Source organism: Homo sapiens, chromosome 2 (assembly GCF_000001405.40).
Source record: "Homo sapiens chromosome 2, GRCh38.p14 Primary Assembly".
Lineage (NCBI taxonomy): Eukaryota > Metazoa > Chordata > Mammalia > Primates > Hominidae > Homo > Homo sapiens.
Window position 1 is genome coordinate 85,020,101 of NC_000002.12, and position 26,996 is coordinate 85,047,096.

The window sequence follows — 26,996 nt, forward strand, 5'->3', positions numbered from 1 at the left end:
AAGTATCAGCATCTTTTTACTGAAAGATAAGAGTGTCAGTATCACCATGCACAGTTGCCTTAAGCTTTGTTCATCTATACTTGCCAGTAGGCATCCCCACCTCAGAAAGAAAAGGCAGGCCTGCAGAATAATGTCAGGCTACACACCAAAAAGTTCAGAGCTGGGTTTACCTTCCTGGCACCTAAATTCACACTACAATTTTTTGTCAATATTATTATACTATCATGTTAAACTTTCATTTGTGAACCTAAATAGATATCATAGGTATCTCCCCCCATTGATTAATTCAGTGTTATGCTTAAAGCATCGTCATGCATGGAAGCTATTTTGTTTTTTGTTTTTATTTGAGATAGGGTCTCACTCTGGCACCCAGGCTGGAGCGCAGTGGCACAATCTCCGCTCACTGCAGTCTCAACCTCCTAGACTCAAGTGATCCTCCCACCTCAACCTGAGAAGTAGGGACTACAGGTGCTCACCACTACACCTGGCTAATTTTTGTATGTTTTTTGTAGAAACTGGGTTTCTCCATGTTTCCCAGGCTGGTCTCAAACTCCTGCACTCAAACAATCTGTTCCCTTTAGTCTCCCAAAGTGTTCGTATTGATTACAGGCCTGAGCCACTGCGCCTGACCTGGAAGCTATTTTGAATAAGAAAATTTTTAAGTATTCCATCTCTTTGCTCAGGTATCTTTTTTAGTAATACTTTCTTTGCCCACGCTGTCCTTCACTGCTTTATGTTTCTCCATAGCACTTACTTCCACCTTGCTCTACAACTTTTTTTCTTTTATTGGAGTCAGGGTTTGCTCTGTCTCCAGGCTGGAGTGCAGTTGTATGATCATAGCTCACAGCAGCCTCGACCTCCTGGGCTGAAGCAATTCTCCCACTTCAGCCTCCTGAGTAGCTGGGACTACAGGCATGCACCACCACACTTAGCCAACTTTTATTTTTATGCTTGTCTTCACGCACTAAATGTTAGTTTCTTGGGGGCAGGGCTTTGTTTTGTTCATTGCTGTATCCTCAGCACCTAAAACATATTACATATTAGATAATCGATATTTGTTGAATTTGCTGAAAAATTGCTGCCATGATGCCATCATTTGGTTGTCTTAAGTTGATCGGGGAGTCTCACTGCAGCTTTTGAGATCTCAAGGATCTCGAAGGATATTTTGAAAACTAATTTAAAAGGTGTATATTATTGAGATCAAATTGTATTCTGGGAAAGCGATAAAATAATCTTACTGCAGCCGGGCGCGGTGGCTCACGCGTGTAATCCCAGCACTTTGGGAGGCCAAGGCGGGCGGATCACGAGGTCAGGAGATCGAGAACATCCTGGCCAATGTGGTGAAACCCTGTCTCTACTAAAAGTACAAAAATTAGCCGGGTGTGGTGGTGGGCACCTGTAGTCCCAGCTGCTCGGGAGGCTGAGGCAGGACAATGGCATGAAACCAGGAGACAGAGCTTGCAGTGAGCCAAGATTGCGCCACTGCACTCCAGCCTGGGCAACAGAGCGAGACTGTCACAAAAAAAAAAAATCTTACTGCATCTGAATGAGATAATACTACCATTTTAAAATTTAGGGCTTTCATGTCTTTTTTTTTCCTCATTTGATTCTCGTAGCAAACTTCATAGATGAAGAGAAATTGAGCAGAGAACATTGATTTGTCTAAGTGCTTATTGTTAATGGCTAAGTAATAACAGGGAATCCCATGGTGTTTTGTTTTGTTTTGTTTTGTTGAGAAGAAATCTTGCTCTTGTTCCCCAGGCTGAAGTACAATGGTGCGATCTCGGCTCACTACAACCTCCGCCTCCCAGGTTCAAGCAATTCTCCTGCCTCAGCCTCCGGAGTAGCTGGGATTACAGGTGCCTGCCACCACGCCTGGCTAATTTTTGTATTTTTAGTAGAGATGGGGTTTCACCATGTTGGTCAGGCTGGTCTTGAACTCCTGACCTCAGGTGATCCACCTGCCTCGGCCTCCCAAAGTGCTGGGCTTACAGGTGTGAGCCACCACGCCCGGCCTGTTTTTTTTGTTGTTGTTTTTTGTTTTAATAAAAACATATTCATTCAACAAACAATAAGAATCTACAACCTAGGCTGGTCTCGGTGGCTCATGCCTGTAATCTCAGTGCTTTGGGAGGCTGACACAGGCAGATTGCTTGAGTCCAGGAGTTTGAGACCAGTCTGGGCAACTTGGCGAAATCCCATCTCTACAAAAAAAATACAAAAATTATGCGGGCATGGTGGCGCACACCAGTAGTCCCAGCTACTCAGGAGGCTGAGGTAGAAGGATTGCTTAAATCCAGGAGGTCGAGGCTGTAGTGAGCCGAGATTGTGCAACTGCTCTCCAGCCAGGGTGACAGTGAGACCTTGTCTCAAAAATCTACAATCTGCCAAAACTATGTTGGTTTTCCAGTTTTCCACCTGACAGTCCACTGACAGCCCAAAGGTTGTTGTAAACAATTCCAGCTTTGCTTTCTGTTTTTTTGTTTGTTTGTTTTTGTTTAGAAGGAAGGGACTTTTAAAAATAAAATATTGGTTGGATATATGAGAATTTTCATAAAATAAATGCAAAAGAGAAGAATGGTACTACAGATCCTCTTGGCCAGATGTAAAAACGTTGCATTTCAAGATCCGTAAAAGCTTCACATACTCATCTCTTCATCACCTTAAACCCCAGAGGGAGCCACTGACCAAAATTTTATCATTCCCTCATTTTCCTTTTATAGTTTTACTACATGTTTGATTTCCTAAACTAGATACTGGTTTTCAACTTTATACTGTATGTATTCTTTTTTTTTTTTTTTTTTTTGAGACGGAGTCTCGCTCTGTTGCCCAGGCTAGAGTGCGGTGGCTGATCTCAGCTCACTGCAAGCTCCGCCTCCTGGGTTCACGCCATTCTCCTGCCTCAGTCTCCCCAGAAGCTGGAACTACAGGCGGCCGCCATCACGCCTGGCTAATTTTTTGTATTTTTAGTAGAGACGGGGTTTCACTGTGTTAGCCAGGATGGTCTCGATCTCCTGACCTCATGAGCCGCCCGCCTCGGCCTCCCAAAGTGCTGGGATTACAGGCGTGAGCCACCGCGCCCGGCCAATACTGTATGTATTCTTTGAAATTTCCTTTCACTCATCTGAGGCAGATGTTCTTACCGTTGCTGTGATTCATTCTTTTTCCAATTCATTCTGTGCATATTGAACTGTTGAGCCTTTGAATCTGAATAGCCTTTTTTTTTTTTTTTTTGAGACGGAGTCTCGCACTTTCTCGCCCAGGCTGGAGTGCAGTGGCGCGATCTCAGCTCACTGCAAGCTCCGCCTCCTGGGTTCACGCCATTCTCCTGCCTCAGCTTCCTGAGTAGCTGGGACTACAGGCGCCCGCCACCACGCCTGGCTAATTTTTTTTTGTATTTTTAGTAGAGACGGGGTTTCACCGTGTTAGCCAGGATGGTGTCGATCTACTGACCTTGTGATCCGCCCGCCTCGGTCTCCCAAAGTGCTGGGATTACAGGCGTGAGCCACCGCGCCCAGCCCCTGAGTAGCCTTTTTAAAATTCAGTTACAAAAACTGCCGTCAACATTCTTCCACATTCTCTAGGTGCACACAGACAAAAGATTCCCTCCCCGGGAATTTATTTAAGAGTGAAATTACGGTATCATAGGAGGTATATGTGTTTAACTTGACTAAAAATATGAACAAATTTTTCAAAGTGGTTGTGCTGATTTACACTCCTACCAGCAGGGTATAAGCACTTCTGCTGCCCTTTATCTTCACTAACACTTGATATCATGAAACTTGTAGTTTCTTACCGGTTTGGTAAATGTAAAATGCTAGCTCACGGATGTTAATCATGCACTTCTTTGATGACTAATGAGATTGAGCATCTTTTCATATGTTTACTGGCCATTTATGTTTGTTGTTCTTTGAGTGCCCTTTGACAGGTTTCTCCATTTTTCTACTAAGCATTCATCATTTACTTACTGATATGTAAGAGTTCATAATGCATTCTGAATACCAAACTTTTGTCTGTCATGTATGTTGTACATATCGCCAGTTTCTGAACCTTATATTTTCAATCAATGTAGGCTGTGAAAAGACGAAGAAAAAGGCCGAGCGTGGTGGCTCACGCCTGTTGTAATTCCAGCACTTTGGGAGGCCCAGGCGGGCAGATCACCCGGAGTTCGAGACCAGCCTGGCCAACGTGGTGAAACCCCGTCTCTACTAAAAATACAAAAATTAGCTGGGCATGGTGCCAGGCGCCTATGATCCCAACTCCTTGGGAGGCTGAGGCAGGAGAATTGCTTGAACCCAGGAGGCGGAGGTTGCAGTGAGCCAAGATCTCACCATTGCACTCCAGCCCCGGCGACAGAGTGAGACTCTATCTCAAAAGAATAAAACAAAAACAAAAGATGAAGAAAAAGTCTTAACGTAGTTGGACTTATCTCTTACTTTTTGATTTGGAGAGTGAGAGAGAGAGAGAGAGAGAGAGAGAGAGAGTGTGTGTGTGTGTGTGTGTGTGCGCGTGTGTGTGTGAGAAAGAGAAAGATTTAAGAAATTGTTTTCTACTTTAGACTCATAAAAATATTCTATATTGTCTTCTAGAGATATTTTTCATTGTTCTTTTGAATCCGTCTTTAAACCATGTGGAATTGATTTTTTGTGTGTATAGGATATGGGGAGAGATCCAATTCTGTTTTCCCCACATGCAGATAATCACCTGTTCAGCACCATTTATTGTCCATTCCCTTTTTTTCTCAGTGCTCTTTAGTGACCTTGCTGTTGTAAAACAGATTTCAACATCTGTTTCTGGTCTTTCCGTTCTATTCCATGGGCCAGTTTGTCTCTACCCTGGTGCCATTCCATCTTACTGTAGTTATTATAGGTTTATTATTTGTTATGGTGTTACTTATTATTTATTAGTTTAGCTCTTGATATATAAAACAAGTCCCTCTATCTCATTTTTCTTGGGAGCATCTTGACTCTCCTTGGCCCTTTTTGTAACTTGCATCAACATTTGAGTCAGCTTACCATGCCCCACAAAAAAATTCTTTTTAAATTTTGGTTATTAATTGTATTGAATCCACAAATCTGTTGACATTTTATTATGAACCTTCCAGTCCATGAAGTTGGTATTTATATTTTTTAAAGTCCTTTAGTGTCTTTGAATACATTTTTACTAATTTGCTTCATAAAGGGCTGCCTATCTTTGGTTAGATTTATTCATAGGCACTTTTTTAAAATGCTGTTGCAAATGGCTTATTTTTTTATTGCAGTAAAATATACATAGCATAAAATTTATTTTAACCCCTTTTAGGTGTACAGTTCAGTAGCATTAAGTATATTCACATTCTTGGAACCATCACCACTGTCCATCTCCAGAATTCTTCCATTATCCCAAACTTGAAAACTCTCTACCCACTAAACCGTAACTCCCCGTTCTCCCTTTCCTCAAGCTTCTGGCAACCACTGTTCTACTTTCCTTCTCTTTGAATTTGGCACATCTCGATGGAATCACAAATGACATTTTTTTGGTTTTTTGAGATAGGAGTCCCGCTCTGTCACCCAGGCTGGAGTGCAGTGGCGCAACCTCAGCTTACTGCAACCTCTGCCTCCTGGGTTCAAGTGATTCTCTTCCCTCAGCCACCCGAGTAGCTGAGATTACAGGCACACACCACCATGCCTCACTAATTTTTTTGTAATAAATGACATATTTTTAATAATATGTTTTTCTGTCTGTTTTGCAGTGAAGAAATACAATCAGTACTTTATTTAGGAGGTCTCTATCTAACAGCTTTGCTTACTGCTTCTAATAACTTAGCTGTATTTGGGTTTTCAGCATAAACAAGCAGATCACATGTGAATAAAACTATGAAACCCACCTACAGAATTTTAAATTTTAACTTTTTTAAAAATATTTTTTAAAGACAGAGTCTCACTCTGTCGCCTAGGCTGGAGTGCAGTGGCATGATCTCGGCTCACTGCAACCTCCGTCTCCTGAGTTCAAGCCATTCTTCTGCTTCAGCCTCCCAAGTAGCTGAGATTACAGGCGCCCACCACCACGCCCGGCTAATTTTTGTATGTTTAGTAGAGATGGGGTTTCACCAGGTTGGTCAGGGTGGTCTTGAACTCCTGACCTCAGGTGATCCGCCCACCTCAGTCTCCCAAAGTGCTGAGATTACAGGCGTGAGCCACTGCGCCTGGCATATTTTAACTTTTTTTTTTTTAAACAAATACAAATGAGATCTCTCTATGTTGCCTTGGCTGGTCTTGAACTCCTGGCCTCAAGCAGCCCTCTTGTCTTAGCCTCCCAAAGTGTTGGAATTACAGGTGTGAGCTATGGCACCCAGCCCTGTTCAAGCTTCTTTCTTTCCTTTATTATTATTATTATTATTATTATTATTATTATTATTTTTATTTTTTCCAGACAGGGTCTTGTTCTGTTCCCAAGCTGGAGTGCAGTAGTTTGATCATGGTCACTGCAGCTTCGAGCTCCTGGGCTCAAGCATTCCTCCCACCTCAACCTTCCAAGTAGCTAAGGCTACAGGCACAGGCCACAATGCCCAGCTAATTTTTAAATTTTTTTGTAGACAGGATCTCTCTATGTTGCCCAGGCTGGTCTTGAACTCCTGGCCTCAAGCCATCCCCCTGCCTCGCCTTGCCAAAGTGCTTGGGATTATAGGTGTTAGCCACCACACCCAGTTATTTCTTTTAACAGGTCAAGAATTATTTGATGCCCCAATTCTGATATGAACTCATGACTGATTCTGCTGCTCCTGCTAGTTCTTTCTGATGGTGCTTTGTTTTTTTGTGTGTATTTTATGGTTTAAATTATGAACTTATTCTTTGGATGTTTATATATGCCAGATGCTTGGTATCAATTCTAATTTAAGACCACTTAAAATTCTTGACCCAAGGTCTTTGGAACCATTTGATAGAATTTGGGCTATAAACCCATGAGGACTGGTTTGTGGTTATGGCTTTTTGTGTTATTTTGTGCCCCTAGGGCAGGGGGCTTTCACTGGGGTAATTTTTGTAATCCCCTAGGGAGGATTTCTAGCCTACCCATGCATTGAGAGTATATTAGGGTCTTGGTTTTATGAGGAATCTTCTGTTAATTATCCCACCTTCACTAGGCCTTTGTCCAATAATGCTGTGGACCTTAAGCTTAGATTTTTACCTGCTTGGGCAAATACCCTCATGGTGAAAAGCCTTCTTTAGTGCTTCCAGTCACCAGTTCCTCTTCGTCTTGGTTTTTACCTTCTTGCTGGCTTATCAAGGCTTTTTTTTTTTTTTTTTTTTTTTTTTTTGAGACAAAGCCTCACTCTGTTGTGAGGCTGGAGTGCAGTGGCGCGATCTCAGCTCACTGCAACCCTACCTCCTGGGTTTAAGCAATTCTCATGCCTCAGCCTCCCAAGTAGTTGGGATTACAGGTGCCAGCCACCACGCCCAGCTAATTTTTGCATTTTTAGTAGAGACGGGGTTTCAACATGTTGACCAGGCTGGTCTTGGACTACTGACCTCAAGTGATCCACCCGCCTCGACCCCCGCAAAGTGCTCAGATTACAGGCGTGAGCCACTGCACCCAGCCTGTATCAGTCATTTTAAATTATTTTCATGTGGAGTATAAATCAGAGTAATGAATCCAGCACATGGCTAAAACTTCCCGTATCATTTTACTAAGTCATTTCTAGTCATTTTGGAAAGGACATATGAGGTTAAATGAGCACCTGAAACATTCATAAAAATGAAATCAAGAGTGGCCTTTACAACTGGTAACTAAAGATATTTCTTTTTTTTATAGGTGTCAGCTGTGATGCATGTTTAAAAGGAAATTTTCGAGGTCGCAGATATAAGTGTTTAATTTGCTACGATTACGATCTTTGTGCATCTTGTTATGAAAGTGGTGCAACAACAACAAGGCATACAACTGACCACCCAATGCAGTGCATATTAACAAGGGTAGATTTTGGTAAGTAATTAAAAATTTAATGAATTACATCATTTAGAATTTTATGTACGTTGAAGAAGTAAAGGCAAAGTGTTCTAAAACTCCCCAGCAGCATACCATAAGCCCCAAATTCATTAAACATGAAATAAATCTTACTTTTTTTTGAGACGGAGTTTCGCTCTTGTTGCCCAGGCTGGAGTGCAATGGCGCGATCTTGGCTCACTGCAACCTCCACCTCCCTGGTTCAAGCAATTCCCCTGCCTCAGCCACCCGAGTAGCTGGGATTACAGGTGCACACCACCACGCCTGGCTAATTTTTTTGTATTTTTAGTAGAGACAGGGTTTCACCACGTTGGCCAGACTGGTCTCGAACTCCTGACCTCAGTCAATCTGCCCGACTCAGCCGCCCAAAGTGCTGGGATTATAGGCGTGAGCCACTGTGCCTGGCTTTTTTTTTTTTTTTTTTTTTTTTTTTGAGGAGTCTTACCCTGTCGCCTAGGCTGGAGTGCAATGTCGTGATCTCAGCTCGCTGCAACCTCCACCCCCCAGGTTCAAGCGATTCTCCTGCCTCAGCCTCCCAAGGAGCTGGGATTACAGGCGTGCACCACCATGCCCGGCTGATTTTTTGTATCTTTAGTAGAGATAGGGTTTCACCATGTTAACCAGGCTGGTCTTGAACTCCTAACCTAATGATACACCTGCCTCGGCCTCCAAAGTGCTGGGATTACAGGCGTAAGCCACCGCGCCCGGCCTTACTTTTTACGTACTAAGTAATTCTGTCTGTTCATCTTAATCATAGTTTACTTGTTTAAAAAAACCATTCAGAAATATACACAACTGACAAGGAATGAAATAGAAGAGTGCTTCAGTAAAGAAGAAATATGCTCTGTCTTTTGTTCGTGCTATTAACACACAAATAATAGCTTTATTTTATTTTATTTTTTATTTTTTTAAGACAGAGTCTCACTCTGTCGCCCACGCTGGAATGCAGTGGCCGGATTTCGGCTCACTGCAACATCTGCCTCCTGGCTTCAAGCAATTCTCGTGCCTCAGCCTCTTGAGTAGCTGAGACTACAGGTGTGTGCCACCTTGCCCAGCTAATTTTTTTGTATTTTTAGTAGAGATGAAGTTTCACTATGTTGGCCAGGCTGGTCTTGACCTCAAGTTATCCACCTGCCTTCGCCTCCCAAAGTGCTGGGATTACAGACGTGAGCCACCATGCCCAGCAATAATAGCTTTTGTAGTGACCAGAAAACAGATTGTTGGCTGGTTATGGTGGCTAACGCCTGTAATCCCAGCCCTTTGGGAGGCTTAAGATGGTCAGATCACTTGAGCCCAGGAGTTTGAGATGAGCCTGGGCAACATGGCAAAAACCCTGTCTCTGCATCCACCCCCGAAAAATACAATAAATTAGCTGGATGTGGTGGCGCACATGCATCTGTAGCCCTAGCTACTTGGGAGGCTGAGATGGGAGGATCACTTGAGCCCAGGAGGTCAAGTGTGCAGTGAACCCTGATTGTGCCACTACATTCCGGCCTGGCCAACAAAGCAAGACGCTATCTCAAAAAAAAAAAAAGGCAGATTGTTTCTACAGTTGATTAGAAGACATTGTAAGAAAATATATAAATGTTTCATGCTATAATTTTTTTTTTTTTTTTTTTTGAGACAAGAGTTTCACTCTTGTCGCCTAGGCTGGAGTGCAATGGCGCCATCTCAGCTCACTGCAACCTCCACCTCCTGGGTTCAAGCGATTCTCCTGCCTCAGCCTCCTGAATAGCTGGGATTACAGGTGCCCGCCACCATGCCCAGAAAATTTTTTTTGTATTTTTAATAGAGACAGGGTTTCACCATGTTGGCCAGGCTGGTCTTGAACTCCTAATCTTAGGTGATCCACTTGCGGGCCTCCCAGAGTGCTGAGATTACAGACATGAGCCACCACGCCTGGCTTCGTGCTATAATTTCTTACCTAGCCCACACTTTTTGTCCTTTTTATTTCAGCCATCCTAGTAGGTGTAAAGTAGTATCTCAGGTGGTTTTGATTTATATTTCTCTGAAATATAAATTATGTTGAGCATCTTTTCTTGTGCTTATGGGCCATTTGTATATCTACTTTGAAGAAATACCTTGATCCTTTGCCCATTTTTTAATTGGATAATGTGTCTTTGTTATTGAATTGTAATAGTTTTTTATTCCTTATGTAAGTTTTTTTATCTGATAGATGATTTGCAAAAATTTTCTCCCATTCTGTGGGTTGTGTTTTCACTTTCTTGGTGGTGTGCTTTGAAGCACAAAACTTCTAATTCTGATAATGTCCCGTTTATGTATTTTTTCATTTGTTGTGCATTTGATGCTGTATCTAGAAAATCACTGCCTAATTCAAAGTCACGAAGATTTAAACTTGTGTGTTCTTCTAAGAGTTTTATAGTTTTAGCTCTTACATTTAGATATTTGACCCATTTAGAATTAATTTTTATATGTGGAATGAGGTAAAGGGCCAACTTTATTCTTTTGCATGTGAGTATTCAGTTGTCCCAGTATCTTTTGTTGGAAAGACTATTCTTTACCCAATGCATTGTCTTGGCACTCTTGTTAAAAATAGGTTGACTATAAATGAGGGTTTATTTCTAGACTCTCAGTCTATTCACATTGATCTATATGCCTGGTGTTTTTGTTTGTTTTTTGACACAGAGTCTCACTTTCACCCAGGCTGGAGTGCAGTGGTGCGATCTTGGCTCACTGCAGCCTCCGCTTCCCAGGCTCAAGCAATCCTCCACCCTCAGCCTTCCAAGTAATTGGGATCACAGGTGGAAGCCACCACGCCTAGCTGATTTTTAAATTTTTTGTGGAGATGGGGTTTTTCCACATTGCCCAAACTGGTATCAAACTCCTGAGCTCAAAGTGATCTGCCTGCCTCAGCCTCCCAAAGTGCTGAGATTGCAGGCGTGAGCCACCATGCCAAGCCTACATGTCTGTCTTTATGCCAGTACTACACTGTCTTGATTTCTGTAGCTTCATAGTAAGCTTTGAAATCAAGAAGAGTGAGTCTTCCAACTTTGTTCTTTTTCAATATTATTTTGGGTATTCTGTGTCCGTTTCATTTCTGTATTTTAGATTCAGCTTGTCAGTTTCTGCAAAGAAGCCAACTAGGATTTTGAATGGAATTATGTCGAATCGGTAGATTAGTTTGGAGAGTATTGCCATCTTAATAATATTAAATCTGCTGATACATGAACATGGGATATGCTTCCATTTTTGTAGGTTTTTAATTTCTTTTGACAAACTTTTGTAGTTATCACAGTATGAGTTTTGCACTTCCATTGAATTTATTCCTAAGAATAGATGGTCCCCAGTTTATGATGGTTCAGCTTATGCTTTTTTTATCTTATAGTGGTACAAAAGCAATATATGTTCAGTAGAAACAGAACTTTAAGGACATACAACCATGCTGTTTTTCATTTTCAGTGCGGTCTTCAATAAATTACATAAAATAGGCTTTGTTTTAGGTGATTTTGCCCAACTGTAGGCTTACATAAGTGTTCTGAGCACGTTTAATGTAGACTAGGCTAAGCTATGATGTTTGGTAGGTTAGGTGTATTAAATGCATTTTCAACTTAAAATAGGTTTATCAAGTTTATTAGGATATAACCCCATTGTAAGTCAAGGAGCATCTGTATTCTTTTTACTGTCTTAAATGGAATTTTTATCTTACTTATTTATCTATCTATTTTGAAAGGTTCTCACTGCCACCTAGGCTGGACTGCAGTGGTGCCATCATGGCTCATTGCAGTCTCAATCTCAGGCTCAAGTGATCTTCCCATCTCAGCCTTCCGAGTAGCCCACACCACATGCACATGCCACCACAGCTGACTGAATTTTTAATTTTTTGTAGAGGTGAAGTCTTGTTACATTGTAAAGGCTTGTCTCAAACTCCTGAGCTCAAGTGGTCCCCGCCTCCACCTCCAAAAGCGCTGGGATTATAGGCATGAGCCACCGCGGCTGTTTTTTAAATTTTATTTTTGAATTGTTCATTGCAACCATATAGACAAACAATTGATTTTTTTTTTCATATAGATCTCATATCCTACAGTGTTACTGAACTTGTTTATTCATTCCAAGAGTGGTTTGTTTTGTTTGTTGGTTGGTTGGTTTTCTTTGAGATGGAGTCTCCGTCTGTTGCCCAGGCTGGAGTGCAGTGGTGCAGTCTCGGCTCACTGCAACTTCCGCCTCCTGGCTTCAAGCGATTCTCCTGCCTCAGCCTCCCAAGTAGCTGAGATCACAGGCATGCACCACGATGTCTGGCTAATTTTTTTATTTTTATTTTTATTTTATTTTATTTTTATTTTATTTTATTTTATTTTGAGACAGAGTTTCGCTCTTGTCACCCAGGCTGGAGTGCAATGGTGCGATCTCGGCTCACTGCAACCTCTGCCTCCCGGGTTCAAGTGATTCTCCTGCCTCAGCCTCCTGAGTAGCTGAGACTACAGGCGTGCACCACCATGCCCAGCTAATTTTTGTATTTTTAGTAGAGACGGGGTTTCACCATGTTGGCCAGGCTAGTCTTGAGCTCCTGACCTTAGGTGATCCGCCCACCTTGGTCTGCCAAAGTGCTGGGATTACAGATGTGAGCCACCAAGCCCAGCCTAATTTTTGTATTTTTAGTAGAGATGGGGTTTTCCTAGTTGGCCAGGCTGGTCTTGAACTCCTGACCTCAAGTGATTCACCCACTTCGCTCTCCCTCCCAAAGTGCTAGGATTATAGGCGTGAGCCACCTCGCCCGGCGCCAAGAGTTTTTTAGTGGATTCTTTAAGTCTTTCTGTACACAAGGTCATGTCATCTGCAAATAAAAATCATTTTACTTCTTCCTTTCTGTCTGGATGCCTTTCATTTACTCTGGATAGATCCTCCAGTAAAATACTAAATAGGAGTGGCAAGAGTGGACACACTTGTCTTGTTCTGATCTTAGGGGAAAGCATCCAGTCTTTCACCAGTAAATGATGTTTGCTCAGTTTTTGGTAGATGCCCTTTATCAGATGAGGAAGTTCTATTCTTTTTAATATATTTATCCCCAGCTACTCCAAATTCACCTAACAAGTCTTGTGCACCTAATAAATGGTCAATATATACATAATACATAAAACTTTTATGATCATTTAAATCTCCCTAAAAATGAATATGAACAAATCTATCACGTAATGAACACTTTCTTCCATTTTCTTTTCTCACAAAAGCTCTCTTAAATTTGGTGTTTGTTTTATGCTAAATAATTAAATAATTCTTTTTAGTGGCGTAACACACTGAATATACTTTAATTTTATTTTATGTTTCTGTCTCTCTGTTTTATCTTAGTATAAGAAAATCCTTGAAATTAGATAATTTCTAAAGGAAAGGGGTCTATTTAGCTCACAATTGTTGAGGCTAAAGGGGCCAAGATTGTTCAGCTTCATCTGGTCGACTTCAGGTGAGGGCCTCAGCTGTGTCATAACATGGCAGAGAAGCAGATGGGGAAGTGGGCATGTGTAAAGAGACCAAACAGTTGTAAGTGACAGACAGCCTCCCTTTAAAACAACTCACTCTCAAGGGAGCTAATTCAGTCCTGAGAGAGCGAGAATTCACTCCTGAGAAAGGTGTTAATACCTCTTAACAACCCTATCACCTCCTAAAGACACCACCTTCCAACACCACCACATTGGAGATGAAGCCACAGCATGAGCTTTGGTGGGGACAAACCATATTCAAACCATAGCAATTACCTACTGGGAAAAAAAGACTTATTCCTTCAGATACACTTACGAGGTGAACAAATTATTCCTACAGACTAACTGGTTAGTTTTCCAGTAACCCAGTTGGGCAAAATATTTTGTGACAGGCCAGGCGTGGTGGCTCATGCCTGTAGTCCCAGCACTTTGGGAGGCTGAGGTGGGAGGATGACTTGAGCCTAGGAGTTCAAAACCAGCCTAGGCAACATGGTGGGACCCCATCTTTCCAAAAAAAAAAAAAAATTTTTTTTTTAATTAGCCGGATGTGATGGCACACACCTGTAGTTCAGTTATGTTGGAGGCTGAGGCAGGAGGATCATTTGAGCCCAGATACTGAGTCTGCAGTGAGCTGTGATCATCCAGCCTGTGCGACAGAGTAAGACCTTGTCTCAAAAAAAATTTCTTAATGTTGTTGGTAGTATCTTAAGTTAGCATTTACAAAAAATGAATGTTCAGGGTCCTTCCTGCTCTAAAAGCAGCATGTTCTATAGACAACTAGCTACATCTGGGAGTTCTCATATTGATCATGGTTGTCTGTTCTTTCCCTCTGAGCACATTTGTCCCTGTTACATGGTAGACCCTGCTGATTTTTACTGTCAATGTCAGTGTTGCCCCAGTATATACAGATAAGGAAAAAATAAATTACAATAAAATTAGAGCCAGATGTGAAATGACCAATGTTTCAAATAAATGAAGGAGGATGGAGTTGTTTGTCTCGTTCTCTCTTAAGGCTATATATGTAGTAGCTATCTGGGGAAGGAATTTTGGAGGAATAACATGGAGTCCTCATGGGAATAAGGATATTACAAATGTAAACAGGTACCTAAGCACTCCTTGATCACGTGACGTTGTTGAATATTTTAGGCACACTTTCTTTTGGAGTGCAGTGGCATGATCTCGGCTCACTGCAACCTCTGCCTTCCAAGTTCAAGCGATTCTCCTGGCTCAGCCTCCGGAGCAGCTGAGATTACAGGCATCTGCCACCATGCCTGGCTAATTTTTGTATTTTTAGTAGACACGAGGTTTTACCATGTTCACCAGGCTGGTCTCAAACTCCTGACCTCAAGTGATCCACCCACCTTGTCCTCCCAACGTGCTGGGATTGCAGGCATGAACCACTGCTCCTGGCCCACACTTTCTTTTTTACATTATTGTATCGTACGATTACATTTTTATATGTTTAAAAACTAATATTCCTCAATGCAATTCTACCTTATTTTTCAGATTTATACTATGGTGGGGAAGCTTTCTCTGTAGAGCAGCCACAGTCTTTTACTTGTCCCTATTGTGGAAAAATGGGCTATACGGAGACATCTCTTCAAGAACATGTTACTTCTGAACATGCAGAAACATCAACAGAAGTGGTAAGTGAAGCAGCAACCTTATGACTAAAATGATGTTGTAAAGTATATTATTTCTAACATTAATAAAGCTAGGTCACTGTCATCTGCTTCCTGCTCAGTGTAATGATACCGTTTGCATAGTTATTAAAATCATCTTTTAACAGCAAATTTTATACATCATGGGAGGCTGCATTTTTGCAAAATAATACCTCTTACTGTCCACACTGGGTTTCTTAACCTGTAGCTAAACCCACAGCATGGAGTCTTGACCAAATTCAGGAGCCCTTTATTCAATGCATTGTGAAAGGTTAAAAGGATGGCAACCTGCAGTGCATCTCTTGTTATAGTATCCTTGCTATCTGCTTAACTTTTCTTCTACAAGGAACTTCACAAGGAAATTTAAAAACCTTTGGTAGTATCATAATAATCCATTGTCACATCTCATTGTAGCATATCGCTGATCTTACCTGGTTTTCATCAGATCACATCTCTTGCTTCCTAGGTCAAGCTCTGGGGTCCCTAGAAGTTCTTCCTATCCTGATCTTTCCAGTGGCTAAAGGCCATGGACCCAGAATAATACACAAAGAAAGTCTTACCTTGAAAGCTTGTTGGATTTTTTACTTGACATCTGAGTCAGCATGCATCCACCTTCAAGAAATGATAAAGTACACCTAAGAGTCTCTCCCCCACCTCTTTACCATTGATAATAATAGGTAAAGTGAAGGCTTTATATGGAACTATAGATACTGAATTGGGAGAATTTTGGCACAGTAATTGCATATTGCATCAACTAATAAGCCCGTAAATGTACTCAAAACAAATTAATTGAAACCCAGAGAAATAAAGTAGCATGCTCAAGGACATACAGCTTAGTAAGGGGCAGGGGTAGGGGCAGGTGTTTGGACTCAGCTAGAGTCCCTCTGGGTTCCAGAGTCTCTACTTAACTCTGCTACAGCTATGCATATAATATAGGGTTACTTTTATTCCCACTGACACTGCTAGTTTGATGTTTGAAGTTGTTATAACATGTATAGTTCAAACAGTAGGTAAATTTATTTTTTATAGACATCAAGCCAAATTTTGCTGTCTTAACAGCTCAGAAATGCTCTGATCTTTTACCTAGGAGAGCCTCAGACTACTGTTGTCACATTTTATTACTATTCTTAGTTTATTCTTTTTATTCTGTAAAGTGACTTTGCTTCCTTTTGGTACAGTATGAAGAATCCTAACTCAGTTGCATCTCCATGCTGGTTGATGTGGAAAACTTGCAGTCATTTTTCTTTGATTTAATTTCTGTTAAGTTTGGGTCCTTTACCTAAATACCATAACACAAACATGGAGTTCTTATTGTAAATTAGGCATCCTTAAAATCATTATTAGACTGTGCACAGTGACTCATGACTGTAATCCCAACACTGGGAAGCTGAGGTGAGAGCATTGCTTGAGCCCAGAAGTTTGAGATTGGCCTGGACAACAAAGTGGGGCCTTGTCTCCACAAAATTTAAAAATTAGCTGGACGTGGTGGCACATACCTGTGGTCCCAGCTACTTGGGAAGTTGAGGTGGGAGAATTGCTTGAGCTCAGGAGGTTGAGGCTGCAGTGAGCCATGATTGTGCCACTGCATTGCACTGCAGCCTGGGTAACAGAACAAGACCCTGTCTCCAAAAAAAAATTATGTATTATTATATATAATATATAAATATATTAATAAATATATAACATTAATTGATAATATTTATTATTATATTTTGTTATTATTATCAGCCAATAGTCCCTAGTATAGTATTTTCATCACCCCTCAGGGGCAAGGCAACTCCTCAGTTTTCCACAACCTTGCCTCTGGTTGGTTTGCCCCATGCCCCCCCATCCCGCCCCTGAAAGTAAATACTCAAAATTTGTTGTTTACACTCTGGCATACCTGATACACAGTTTGAAAATTAAATACCCACCACCTACAAATGCTATCATGGTCTGTTTCTTGTGAGTTGTGTTTATGCCTTCATTAAGTTTCCAGGCTTTTGGTACATAGCCCAAGGCAGTTGTCACTCTATTTTCATATTGGTTTTTGTGGAATATTTTAAGGATTTATCTCTCCTCATTAGCCCTTAATCTTTGCATGAGTACTATATCTACATATGTTCCCACCCATACACCTAGACATTTCAAAGTGAAAAATGGCAAGCAGATAAGAATCTTTAATATAAAAGTACAGGATTTCTTCAGGTCATGTGGGTCAAGTCCTAGAGGCAGGGCTGGCATTCAGCAGGTACAGCCAAGTGTAGCATGCTGACTAGTGTCCATTCTGAAGGATTGGTGCCTATGCCATACCAGTTGTTAAGTGTTTTGAATGCCTCTCTGCATATATGTGAAACATACTATCAGCTCCAGTGTGCTACAGTTATATGTAAATGTCCAGGTGATATTACTGTGTGTCCCCTCTCACCCCTCAATGTTTTGCATTTTTTAATTAGGGAATTCAAGAGTGATTTACATCATTTTGGTTTAGGGGATTATATCTACACAGCAACTTGCTATATATCTCCTTTTCTATTCCTCTTAACATATTCCTTTCTAAATGCTCTGTTTGCTATCTTGCTTTGCCCCACGTTACCTGCATGTGTCCTCTAGACCAGGGTTCCCCAACCCCTGGGCCACGGACGGGACCAGACTAATACCCGTCCATGACCTGTTTGGAACCAAGCCACAGAGCAGAAGGTGAGCAGTGGGCCAGCGGACATTACCGCCTGAACTCCACTCCCTGTCAGATCAGCAACATCATTAGATTCTCACAGGAGCGCAATCCCTTTTGTGAACTGCCTTCTGATTTCTTTGGAATTATTTTTCAGTGTAGCTAAATTATATTAATACTATTTCAAGTTTTGTGAATTCCCAAGATGTCATCATACACATAAATTTTTGTACAAGAACCATGTTTAAAAGTAAAACATAATTGCTTTTTAGGACTTTCTAAATTACTTGTAAATGCTGCTCTTTAGAAGCCAGTGACAAATCTAACTTCAGCACTATGATGGGAGAATGGAATCGACAGGGAAAATAATTTAATATGAAGTAATTCACAATTATAAGTTAATTTCACTTATAATTGAACACTTACTATAACTGTTCACTGCAGCAACAGAAAATTAGACTGTAATCTAGTTGAACAGTATGCTCACTCAACTCTTGAAAGGACCTTTATTTATATTGGCAAAATGGATGGCCAAGGTGCAGGTAGCTACAAGCTAGACGGTTCTACAAGGCCCAAAAGGAGTTTCTTGACCACATAGCATAGATCATCCACTAGTCCTTTATGTATATTCTCCAAGCAAAACTTGAATTTCAGTCTTGTATTCATTATATCTGCAGATTTTGTAGGATCAACTAATACTTTTAATTGGGCAGGAGATCCAAAAGCCTGAAGTTGTCATTGGCCGTGGCATTTAGTTAACTCAGTAGAATGTCTTTCTTCTTCTTCTTCTTCTTTTTTTTCTTTTTTTGTATAAGCACTAAAGTATAATATGTGTCAACAGGTTTTGTATGATGGCTTTAAATTTAGATGGCTCTTTTTGGGTCATCACTCTTCTGTGGAAAAACTGTTTTAAACCCCATTCCCCCCATTGTATTGCAGGTGATCAGAAAATCCCTTGGCATAATAAGCCTGGGTGTTTCTGTAGCTGAGTTCTAAGAGCCGCTCAAAAGCAGAGACGTGAATTGTACCCCAGTTTGAAGAAATAATGAAAAATACCAATTTAAAAAAAATATTTTGGTAGAGACTTCGTCTCACCGTGTGGCCCAGGCTGGTCTCAAACTCTTGTCTGCAAGTGATCCCCCTGCCTCATTCTCCCAAAGTGTTGGGGTTACAGGCATAAGCCACTGTGCCCTGCCCCAATTTTGGCCCCAGTTTTTAAAAAGAGATGAAATTCATATGAACTTTAATGTTGGCAGGAACTATGCTCATTTCTTGATAATGTTTTAAACTAAAGTGTTAAGTTAGTTCTGATTTGGTACTCAGTAAGTGCTTAACGGATTAGTCCATGGTAACAAAATTATATAATATAACAAATTTAGCCAGTCAGAACTTTAACTTTACCAACTTACCTGGATTTCATAGCATAGATCCTTGAACTAGAAATAGGAATGTGGTTATAAAGAATAGTTTTTAAAGCTGTGAATAGTACCCATCGAGAGAATGCTGTCTGCTGTAGTTGTATTAGTTCAAGAGAGAGGCCAGAGGAAATCCAAACTTGCTTTAAAATGGTTGATAATTGTATGGGGAAAAATGTGTGGAGCTGTTGTTTTTAAAAAAAAAATCAGGCATGCTGACTTTAGGTGCTTTCATAGAGGAAAAGTTCTGTATATTCAGCAGTGATTCGGTGTTTATATGTGGAGTAATGACTTCAGAAGGTATATTTTAAAGACATTGGCAACAAACTGTGCTATAATGTGTCCTAACTGGTTGCTGGCTGGTAGTCATGCCCTGGAACCATGTGGAAAAATGGAGACTCTGTACGTTCTTGGGATGGGACCTCATCTCAATTGGTAAAGGCTTCCAAAGGGGCTGCAGATAAAAAGCAAGACTGATGGTGACCCTCAGTGGCAAGGTGAAGGAGAAGAGGAAACTCGAGCAACAGCAGAGACGACACTGAGAACAGCAAGGACATTTGTGAATACAAATGTTTTTTCCTTTTTTTTTGGAGACAGAGATTTTGCTCTTGTTGCCCAGGCTCGAGTGCGATGGTGCGATCTCGGCTCACTGCAACCTCTGCCTCCCAAGTTCAAGCAATTCTCCTGCCTCAGCCTCCCGAGTAGCTGGGATTACAGGCATGTGCCACCACGCCTGGCTAATTTTTTTTGTATTTTTAGTAGAGATGGGGTTTCACCATGTTGGCCAGACTGGTCTCAAACTCCTAACCTCAGGCAATCCATCTGCCTTGGCCTCCCAAAGTGCTGCGATTGTAGGCGTGAGCCACTGCACCTGGCCCAGATGATTTATATTCTTAGCCAAATTAAAGAAATACTGACTTAAGCCAGTTAAGTAAATCTTAATTGACAAGTTGTTGTAATTTTAAGCTTGTGTGTTACATGGAATGTTTCCATATGAATAATAGATATTACTCTATCGTGTGGCAGTGGAAGTATGATAAATATTAATGTTGACAAGCTGTCATAATTTTAGGGTCAGTACCCTAAAGTTACCCTTTGTGTCGAGTTTTCCTGTCCTGTAAGAGATATTAGGCACCATGATGTAGAAATAAAGACACACTCAAAACTAAGCAGTATTTGTGCCCATGAGTGGCACAGTGGCTTGCTTTGTCTCTCCTCCCACTCCCCACCACCTCTTTTCCATTTCTCCTGCCCCGCTTTGCTCTCCTTTTTCTTTCTTCGTCTTGTTCCCTTCATTTCCTCTCAGAAAACACAGTCTTGAGAACAAGCATTTTTGTCTTAAAGCATGAGTTAGCTTGCTAAATATAAAATGTAAAACCTAAAAGGTGACCAGGCCTCTGTGATCGCATCAGCATCTGAGCTTAGTTTTCCTTTCCAACTCCTCATTTGAGTTAACTTCATGTGACCCAAGTGTGGCAACATCTTCCACTTGGTTCTAAATCTAGCCTCTTGATTTTCTTTTTTCTTTTCTTTTTTTTTTTTTTGAGATGGAGTCTCTGTCGCTCAGGCTGGAGTGCAGTGGTGCGATCTTGGCTCACTGCAACCTCCGCTTCCCGGGTTCAAGTGATTCTCCTGCCTCAGCCTCCTGAGTAGCTGGGATTACAGGCGTGTGCCACCATGCCCAGGTCATTTTTGTATTTTTTAGTAGAGATGGGGTTTCACCATGTTGGTCAGGCTGGTCTCGAACTCCTGACCTTGTGATCCACCCACCTCAGCCTTCCAAAGTGCTGGGATTACAGGCATGAGCCACCGTGCCTGGCCTAGCCTCTTGATTTTTCTATGCCAGCTGTCAACCTGGGTGATCCTCCCACCACAGTAATTTCTTATCCTCAGTAATTCTTTATCCCTAGTAGTTATGGAAGTTTGGTTGGTTGATTGGTTGGTTTTATATTATTTCTCTTTGAATGAAGCAGTTCTGAATACCTTCATCCTGCCATCTTAGCAGAATTACTGCAATGAAATAAAAAAGATTTTGAGTATAGAACCAAAGTCAATACACGATAAGGAAGGATCTTGATTTTATTTTACATCCTTGTCTCGAAGGTGCTTTTCTACTTGTTAAATTATCTATCTTATTAGGACATTCTTTGTACGTTTGATGTCTCTGCTTCCCATTCTGTTTTCCTTCTAGGAATCTATATCCTTGTGGAGACTTTTCTCATCTACCAACATTTTTATGTCCCCTCAAGTACTGAAGCCTTTGCAGCTATCATTGGACAGCTCAAGTTGTTTATAGATTTTACCCGAAGGCCAATCTAAAGGAAAGTATCTTAGAAGAAAGATGCCTTTTCCTTTTGGTGGTTATTTTCTCTTTAAATAAAAATCTTATACAGCCTTATAATATTGTAATAAAACTATAACCCAGCACTTGTTAACTTTTTCAGAATGATGAGTCTCTAAGGTAGCTTGTTTTATTTTTAAATAACTGGAACTTGTTTTCTGTTTCTCCAAACATTGCTGGTCTTTTTTTTTTTTTTTTTTTTTTAAAAAAAGCAAGTCTGGCCGGAGTTTAAAACCAAAGACAAATCACATTGTCCTGCATCTCTCAAAGAGTTTACAGTTTAGCTAGGTAAGACCAGAAGCACGTGAAAAGTAAAATATGTATATCAGACATAACCAGGTAATGTCAGAGTACAGGAATGGTACAGATAGTAAAAGTTAAATCCCTAGTAAAGAGAGAGTGGATGGATAATCTGTAAACTTTGACACATACAGCTACTTTTCTGACAGAGGAAAGAATCTGACCACCTTCCTGGCATCTTCTAAGAAAGGCATAGGCAGGTCTATCTACTTCTTTTTCTCTTTTGCCTCATCACATTCCATTGTGACCTGTCTAGTTCTTCTGCACACTGTCATGCTTAAATGTTATTTCTCATGAACATATTTAGGTTTTCCTGAGGATATTTCTCAGAGTCCTGAGTCACATAATCAGGACAGCTGATTAGGCATAAGAGAGACTGATATCAAATCAGAGTTGAACTCTCAGGAGACTTCTGCTTTCTAGTTGTTAGAAGATGGAAAGTTATGTTTGTTTGGGCTTCAGGAATCAGAGCAGTTTGTTTTCCCTCCGTACCCCAGGATTGTCCTTCCAAGTCTCACCTTTTCCATCTCCCCTCATCTCCAGCGCTACCACCTACTCCCACTGTGCTGGCAGCAGACAATAAGGTTGACCAATTGCCTAGATTTTGCCTAAGTGAAAGAATTTCGGCACATGTACTGGCAATGAATCACATATCCTATCTTTAACCTTCTTATTTATGGATAAAGACACAAGTCTACAACTTGAACTGTGCACTTCCTGGGGCTCCTTTTGGTCATGCCCCTTGCTTCAGACCTTTCTTCTTGGCCCTGTTCTTTAAGATTGAAGTTGTTCATACTTCAAGGCTTGGCTACCATTGTTAGAACATTATCTGTCCATTTGAATTTCGGAAGAGTAAGGGCCTTTCCTCTTTAAAACGTTCCTCATTCTTTCTAGCCTTCCCCTCTCCTTCCCTCTGTTTCACCAATTCTGTTAACTATAGAAACCACCTTCCCAACCTGTCACCCGCTCCCCGAACTGTGACTGTGTACACACCATTTTATTCCTACTTTCTCCCATCTCTTGCCAAGAGGCCCATGGAAAGTTGTTCTACTACTCCTTGAGCCTGACCTGGTTACAAGCTTCTGGCCTACCACCCCATTTCTTCAGGAAATAAGGTTTAAAAATGGGCTTCCATACCATATTCCCCTTGGAAGTCACATTCATAAATTTATAGACCACATTTGCATATTATCAGTAATCATAATTTGTCTTACATTCAACATGTCTGTTGAATGTTTGCACAGTTGCATTTAATCAGATCTCTGCTGTCTTATTTGGGAATTGGCTCTCAAGTATAGCTTGCTTTGGAGAAGTGTGCCATAGGCTTGTATCTGTCTTTACCATTCAAGACTGGACTTACACGTAAATGTGCACTAAATAGCACATTTTAAAGTTTTTTTTAATGGAAACTATTTTGCTAGACCATACAAATGAATCAGGCAGGCTGTTAGAAGGCCCTGCCAGAGATCAAGTTTGGTGTGTCTGAAACTGTTGTGTTTGACCCTGAGGGACCTTGTGTGAACAGTTCTTGCTTAGGTTTCTACTGCTTTTCACTGATTTAGGATCTGCTGTGTTTTCTGTTGGTTAAAACTTGATAATAGTAAAACTTACAGCAGAATACTCGTCCAGAAAGATGTCTTATTGACGTTCATTTATTAAGCTGCTTTCTTTACTTCCATTTCAGATTTGTCCAATATGTGCAGCGTTACCTGGAGGCGATCCTAATCATGTCACGGATGACTTTGCAGCTCATCTTACACTTGAACACAGAGCCCCTAGAGATTTAATATCCTTTTAAGAGATGACAAGGAAAAGAGTTGTTTGTAATGTTTGTCATTTTGATTTTTTGTTTTGGAGACAAGATCTCGCTGTGTCGACCTGGCTGGTCTCAAACTCCTGAGCTCAAGTGATCCTCCTGCTTCAGCCTCTTGAGTAGCTGGGACTATAGGCACACATGTGCCACTGCATCCAGCTTGTCATTTTGATTTTTTTTAAGGATCATATCCCCCAAAAGAGGAAAAGTAATGTCCAAATTATTTTTACTTATTTGAACTTTTCCTAAAAGTGACTCAGTGCTGAGATGCAATTTATTTCTCTTTTTATATACTATCACCATTGTATGAACCATTTTCATTAAGTGAAAGTTGACTTGTCCTTCATCTTTAGTTCATTACAATTAGATTTTTTTTAAGGCAGTTTGACCAAATTGTGTCTTCCAGGATGGCGTTTTCATACAAAAGAGGAAAATGTTAATCCAAATTAAAATTTAATTAGTTAAATATGAAGAGGCATTATTTGCTTTCCCTCTCTGTTCCTCTGCTGCCTTACCCTGTTGTGGGTGTGGTGTGGTGAGATGGTGGGGACAGGTGTGCATCTTGGTGTTCCTTTCCTTTTTGGGGTCCCCTTCTCCAGAGAGAGCCATTTCCTGCCGAGTTCCTGAGTAGGATAGCATAAGGTCAGCTCTAGCTTTAAATTTCCTTTCCTGCTTTTCTTTTCTTTTCTTTTTTTTTTAAAAGTCGGAGTCTTGCTCTGTCAGCCAGGCTGGAGTACAATGGTGCTATCTTCAGCTTATTGCAACCTCCACCTCCTGGATTCAAGTAATTCTCCTGCCTCAGCCTCCCAAGTAGCTAAGATTACAGGTGCCCGCCACCACACCCAGCTAATTTTTGTATTTTTAGTAGAGATGGGGTTTCACCATATTGGCCAGGCTGGTCTCTTGGCCATGCTGGTCTTGAACTCCTGACTGCCTGCCTCAGCCTCCCAAAGTGCTGGGATTACAGGCATGAACCACTGCGCCTGGCCAATTTTTGTATTTTTTTAGTAGAGATGGGGTTTCACCATGTTGGCCAGGCTGGTCTCGAACTCCTGACCTCAGGTGATCTGCCCACCTCAGCTTCCCAAAGTGCTGGGATTCAGGCGTGAGCCACCACGCCCAGCCTCTTGCTTTTATTTCTGCATTCCCTTCCTTGTCTCTCAACAGTTTCTGGCAGTGTTCCCTGAGATTACTGGCCTACCAGAGCGATTAATTTTGTGGACTCAATGCTTCTGATTTCAGGTTATGAATTGTTCGTCTAAAACTGTCACCAGCTGGGTACAGTGGCTCATGCCTATACTCCCAGCACTTTGAAAGGCCAAGGTGGGAGGATCACTTGAGCCTAGAAGTTTGAAACCAACCTGGACAACATAGGAAGACCCCATCTCTACCAAAATAATGAGCTCAGCTGGTGGCACACACCTGTGGTCCCAGCTACTCAAGAGGCTGAGGTAGGAGGATCACTTGAGCCCATGAGCTCAAGGCTGCAGTAAGCTATGATTGCACCACTGCACTCCAGCCTGGCAACAAAGTGAGACCCTGTCTCAAGATACATATATATATGTATATATAATCATAATATAAAATTATCAAATATATAAATATGATCATATCACTTTCTCTAGAACCCAAACCATCCTCATGAATATGATGGAACAGGGCATGTACCGTGACACCTGAAGGCCTCTTGGAGCTACCCATCCGGTCCTTAAATAACTCCAGAACCATCAGCTGAAAAACTGAGAAGCCAGCCAAAAAATTAATCTGCATTATAAAGCTGGTCTGTTTGGTACTTTAAAGGAAAAATCTCTTCTATATGATCTGGCCTCCCCCACCTCTCATTTGCCTTTGTGGAAACGTAAGGTTGTCTTCATGAGTTTTGACAGCTATTTGCAACTCAGGACCTTTTTCAGTTTGACTTACACTCAGCTGTGTAAGACGGTTGAGGCTGCTGGGAATTTTTCTTCGTGATAAATGTCATGTTAATCTATCTGTGTGTCTTATACAAGAAATGCAAATCTGTTTTCTGCTTAGCAGCGGCATTGGAAAGAAGCTTGAAGACAGAGTAAAACTAATAATCCAAAAGGAACCTTTGATGTGCTGAATATACATTCAGTATTGTTCCTTTTTCATTATAGGTGGTATTTGAGATTTCATGAGCTATATAGAGAAACTTTTTTACCTCACACACCCAATACACACACACACACTCACATGTTGCCTTACATTTGAGTGTCTTTTTAGGGTTAATAGCCCTCATAGATAGAGTTGGGACATTTGCACTTTAAGTTAAATGTGCTGTTTTTAAATGCTTACAATTCAGGAAATCTTTACATCTGTCTAGCAAGGACTCAGGTGATTTTTTTTCTTTCTGTGAAATACTTTCGTTTTTTTCTTAACTTTTGGGTTATGATGAATCGAGTGGTGTTCGACATGTACGTAGAATGTTTCACCCTGGCCGGGGATTAGGAGGTCCTCGTGCTCGTAGATCAAACATGCACTTTACTAGCAGTTCTACTGGTGGACTTTCTTCTTCTCAGAGTTCATATTCTCCAAGCAATAGGGAAGCCATGGATCCTATAGCTGGTAAGTTAGTTTCACATTAATAAGGGAAATGGCAGGGGAAGGAGGAGCTCCTTTTAAAACTTTTTGTGATGCCAGGTGCGGTGGCTCACACCTTTAATCCCAGCACTCTGGGAGGCTGGAGCGGGTGGATCACTTGAGGCCAGGAATTCAAGACCAGCCTGGCCAACATGGCAAAACTCCATCTCTACTAAAAATAAAAAAATTAGCCAGATTTGGTGGTGGGTGCCTGTAATCGCAGCTACTCTGGATGCTGAGGCATGAGAATCGCTTGAGCCTGAAAGGTGGAGGTTCCAGGGAGCCGAGATCGCACCACTGCAGTCCAGCCTGGGTGATGGAGTGAGACCCTGTCTCAAAAAAAAAAAAAAAAACTTTTTGTGAGATTTGTGTTCTTAAGTCTCACCTCTCTGATCATAAGCCATGTTCCTTCACAAAATTCCCAAATACATTAAAAGTGTAAAATGTGTTAAAAGCAGACACTTAACATAAAGTAATTCATACTCTTCTGGCATTGCTTAAGTCCAGTAGTCCCCCCGTCATGTGGTTTTGCTTTCCTGGGTTTCAGTTACCCACAACCAACTACAGTCAAAAAATAGGTGAGTACAGGACAATAAGATACTTAGAGAGAGACCACATCACATAACTTTCATAGTATATTTTTAGATTTACTCTATTTTGTTGGGAATCTCATGTTCCTAATTTATAAATTAGGTGCCTAATTTATAAATTAAACTTTAGCACAACAGATAAGTATGTATAGGAAAAAACATAGTATGTATAGGGTTCTGTATTATCCAAATGCCCATTTCAGCCATTCACTG

At 41.1% G+C, this 26,996-nt stretch overlaps 1 protein-coding gene across 3 annotated transcripts in view, besides 1 other annotated feature; it reads left to right on the plus strand.

Moving 5' to 3' along the window:
• KCMF1 (potassium channel modulatory factor 1) overlaps positions 1-26,996 on the plus strand; it is an 88,312-nt gene that overhangs the window by 48,940 nt on the left and 12,376 nt on the right. For all 3 annotated transcript variants that reach the window (XM_047445126.1, NM_020122.5, XM_006712052.4), the window contains 4 exons: positions 7,789-7,956; positions 14,916-15,055; positions 23,464-23,565; positions 26,004-26,178. In XM_047445126.1, the coding sequence (XP_047301082.1) occupies positions 7,926-7,956; positions 14,916-15,055; positions 23,464-23,565; positions 26,004-26,178 (448 nt within the window). In that variant the 5' untranslated portion in view covers positions 7,789-7,925. The remainder of the gene's footprint in view (positions 1-7,788; positions 7,957-14,915; positions 15,056-23,463; positions 23,566-26,003; positions 26,179-26,996) is intronic.
• Positions 3,174-3,858: an enhancer, noted in NCBI's record as "H3K4me1 hESC enhancer chr2:85250397-85251081 (GRCh37/hg19 assembly coordinates)". NCBI's record gives its function as "activates a minimal SCP1, AML or CMV promoter by ChIP-STARR-seq in naive H9 embryonic stem cells {active_cell/tissue: H9 hESC(naive)}" and the evidence as "EXISTENCE:reporter gene assay evidence [ECO:0000049][PMID:30033119]".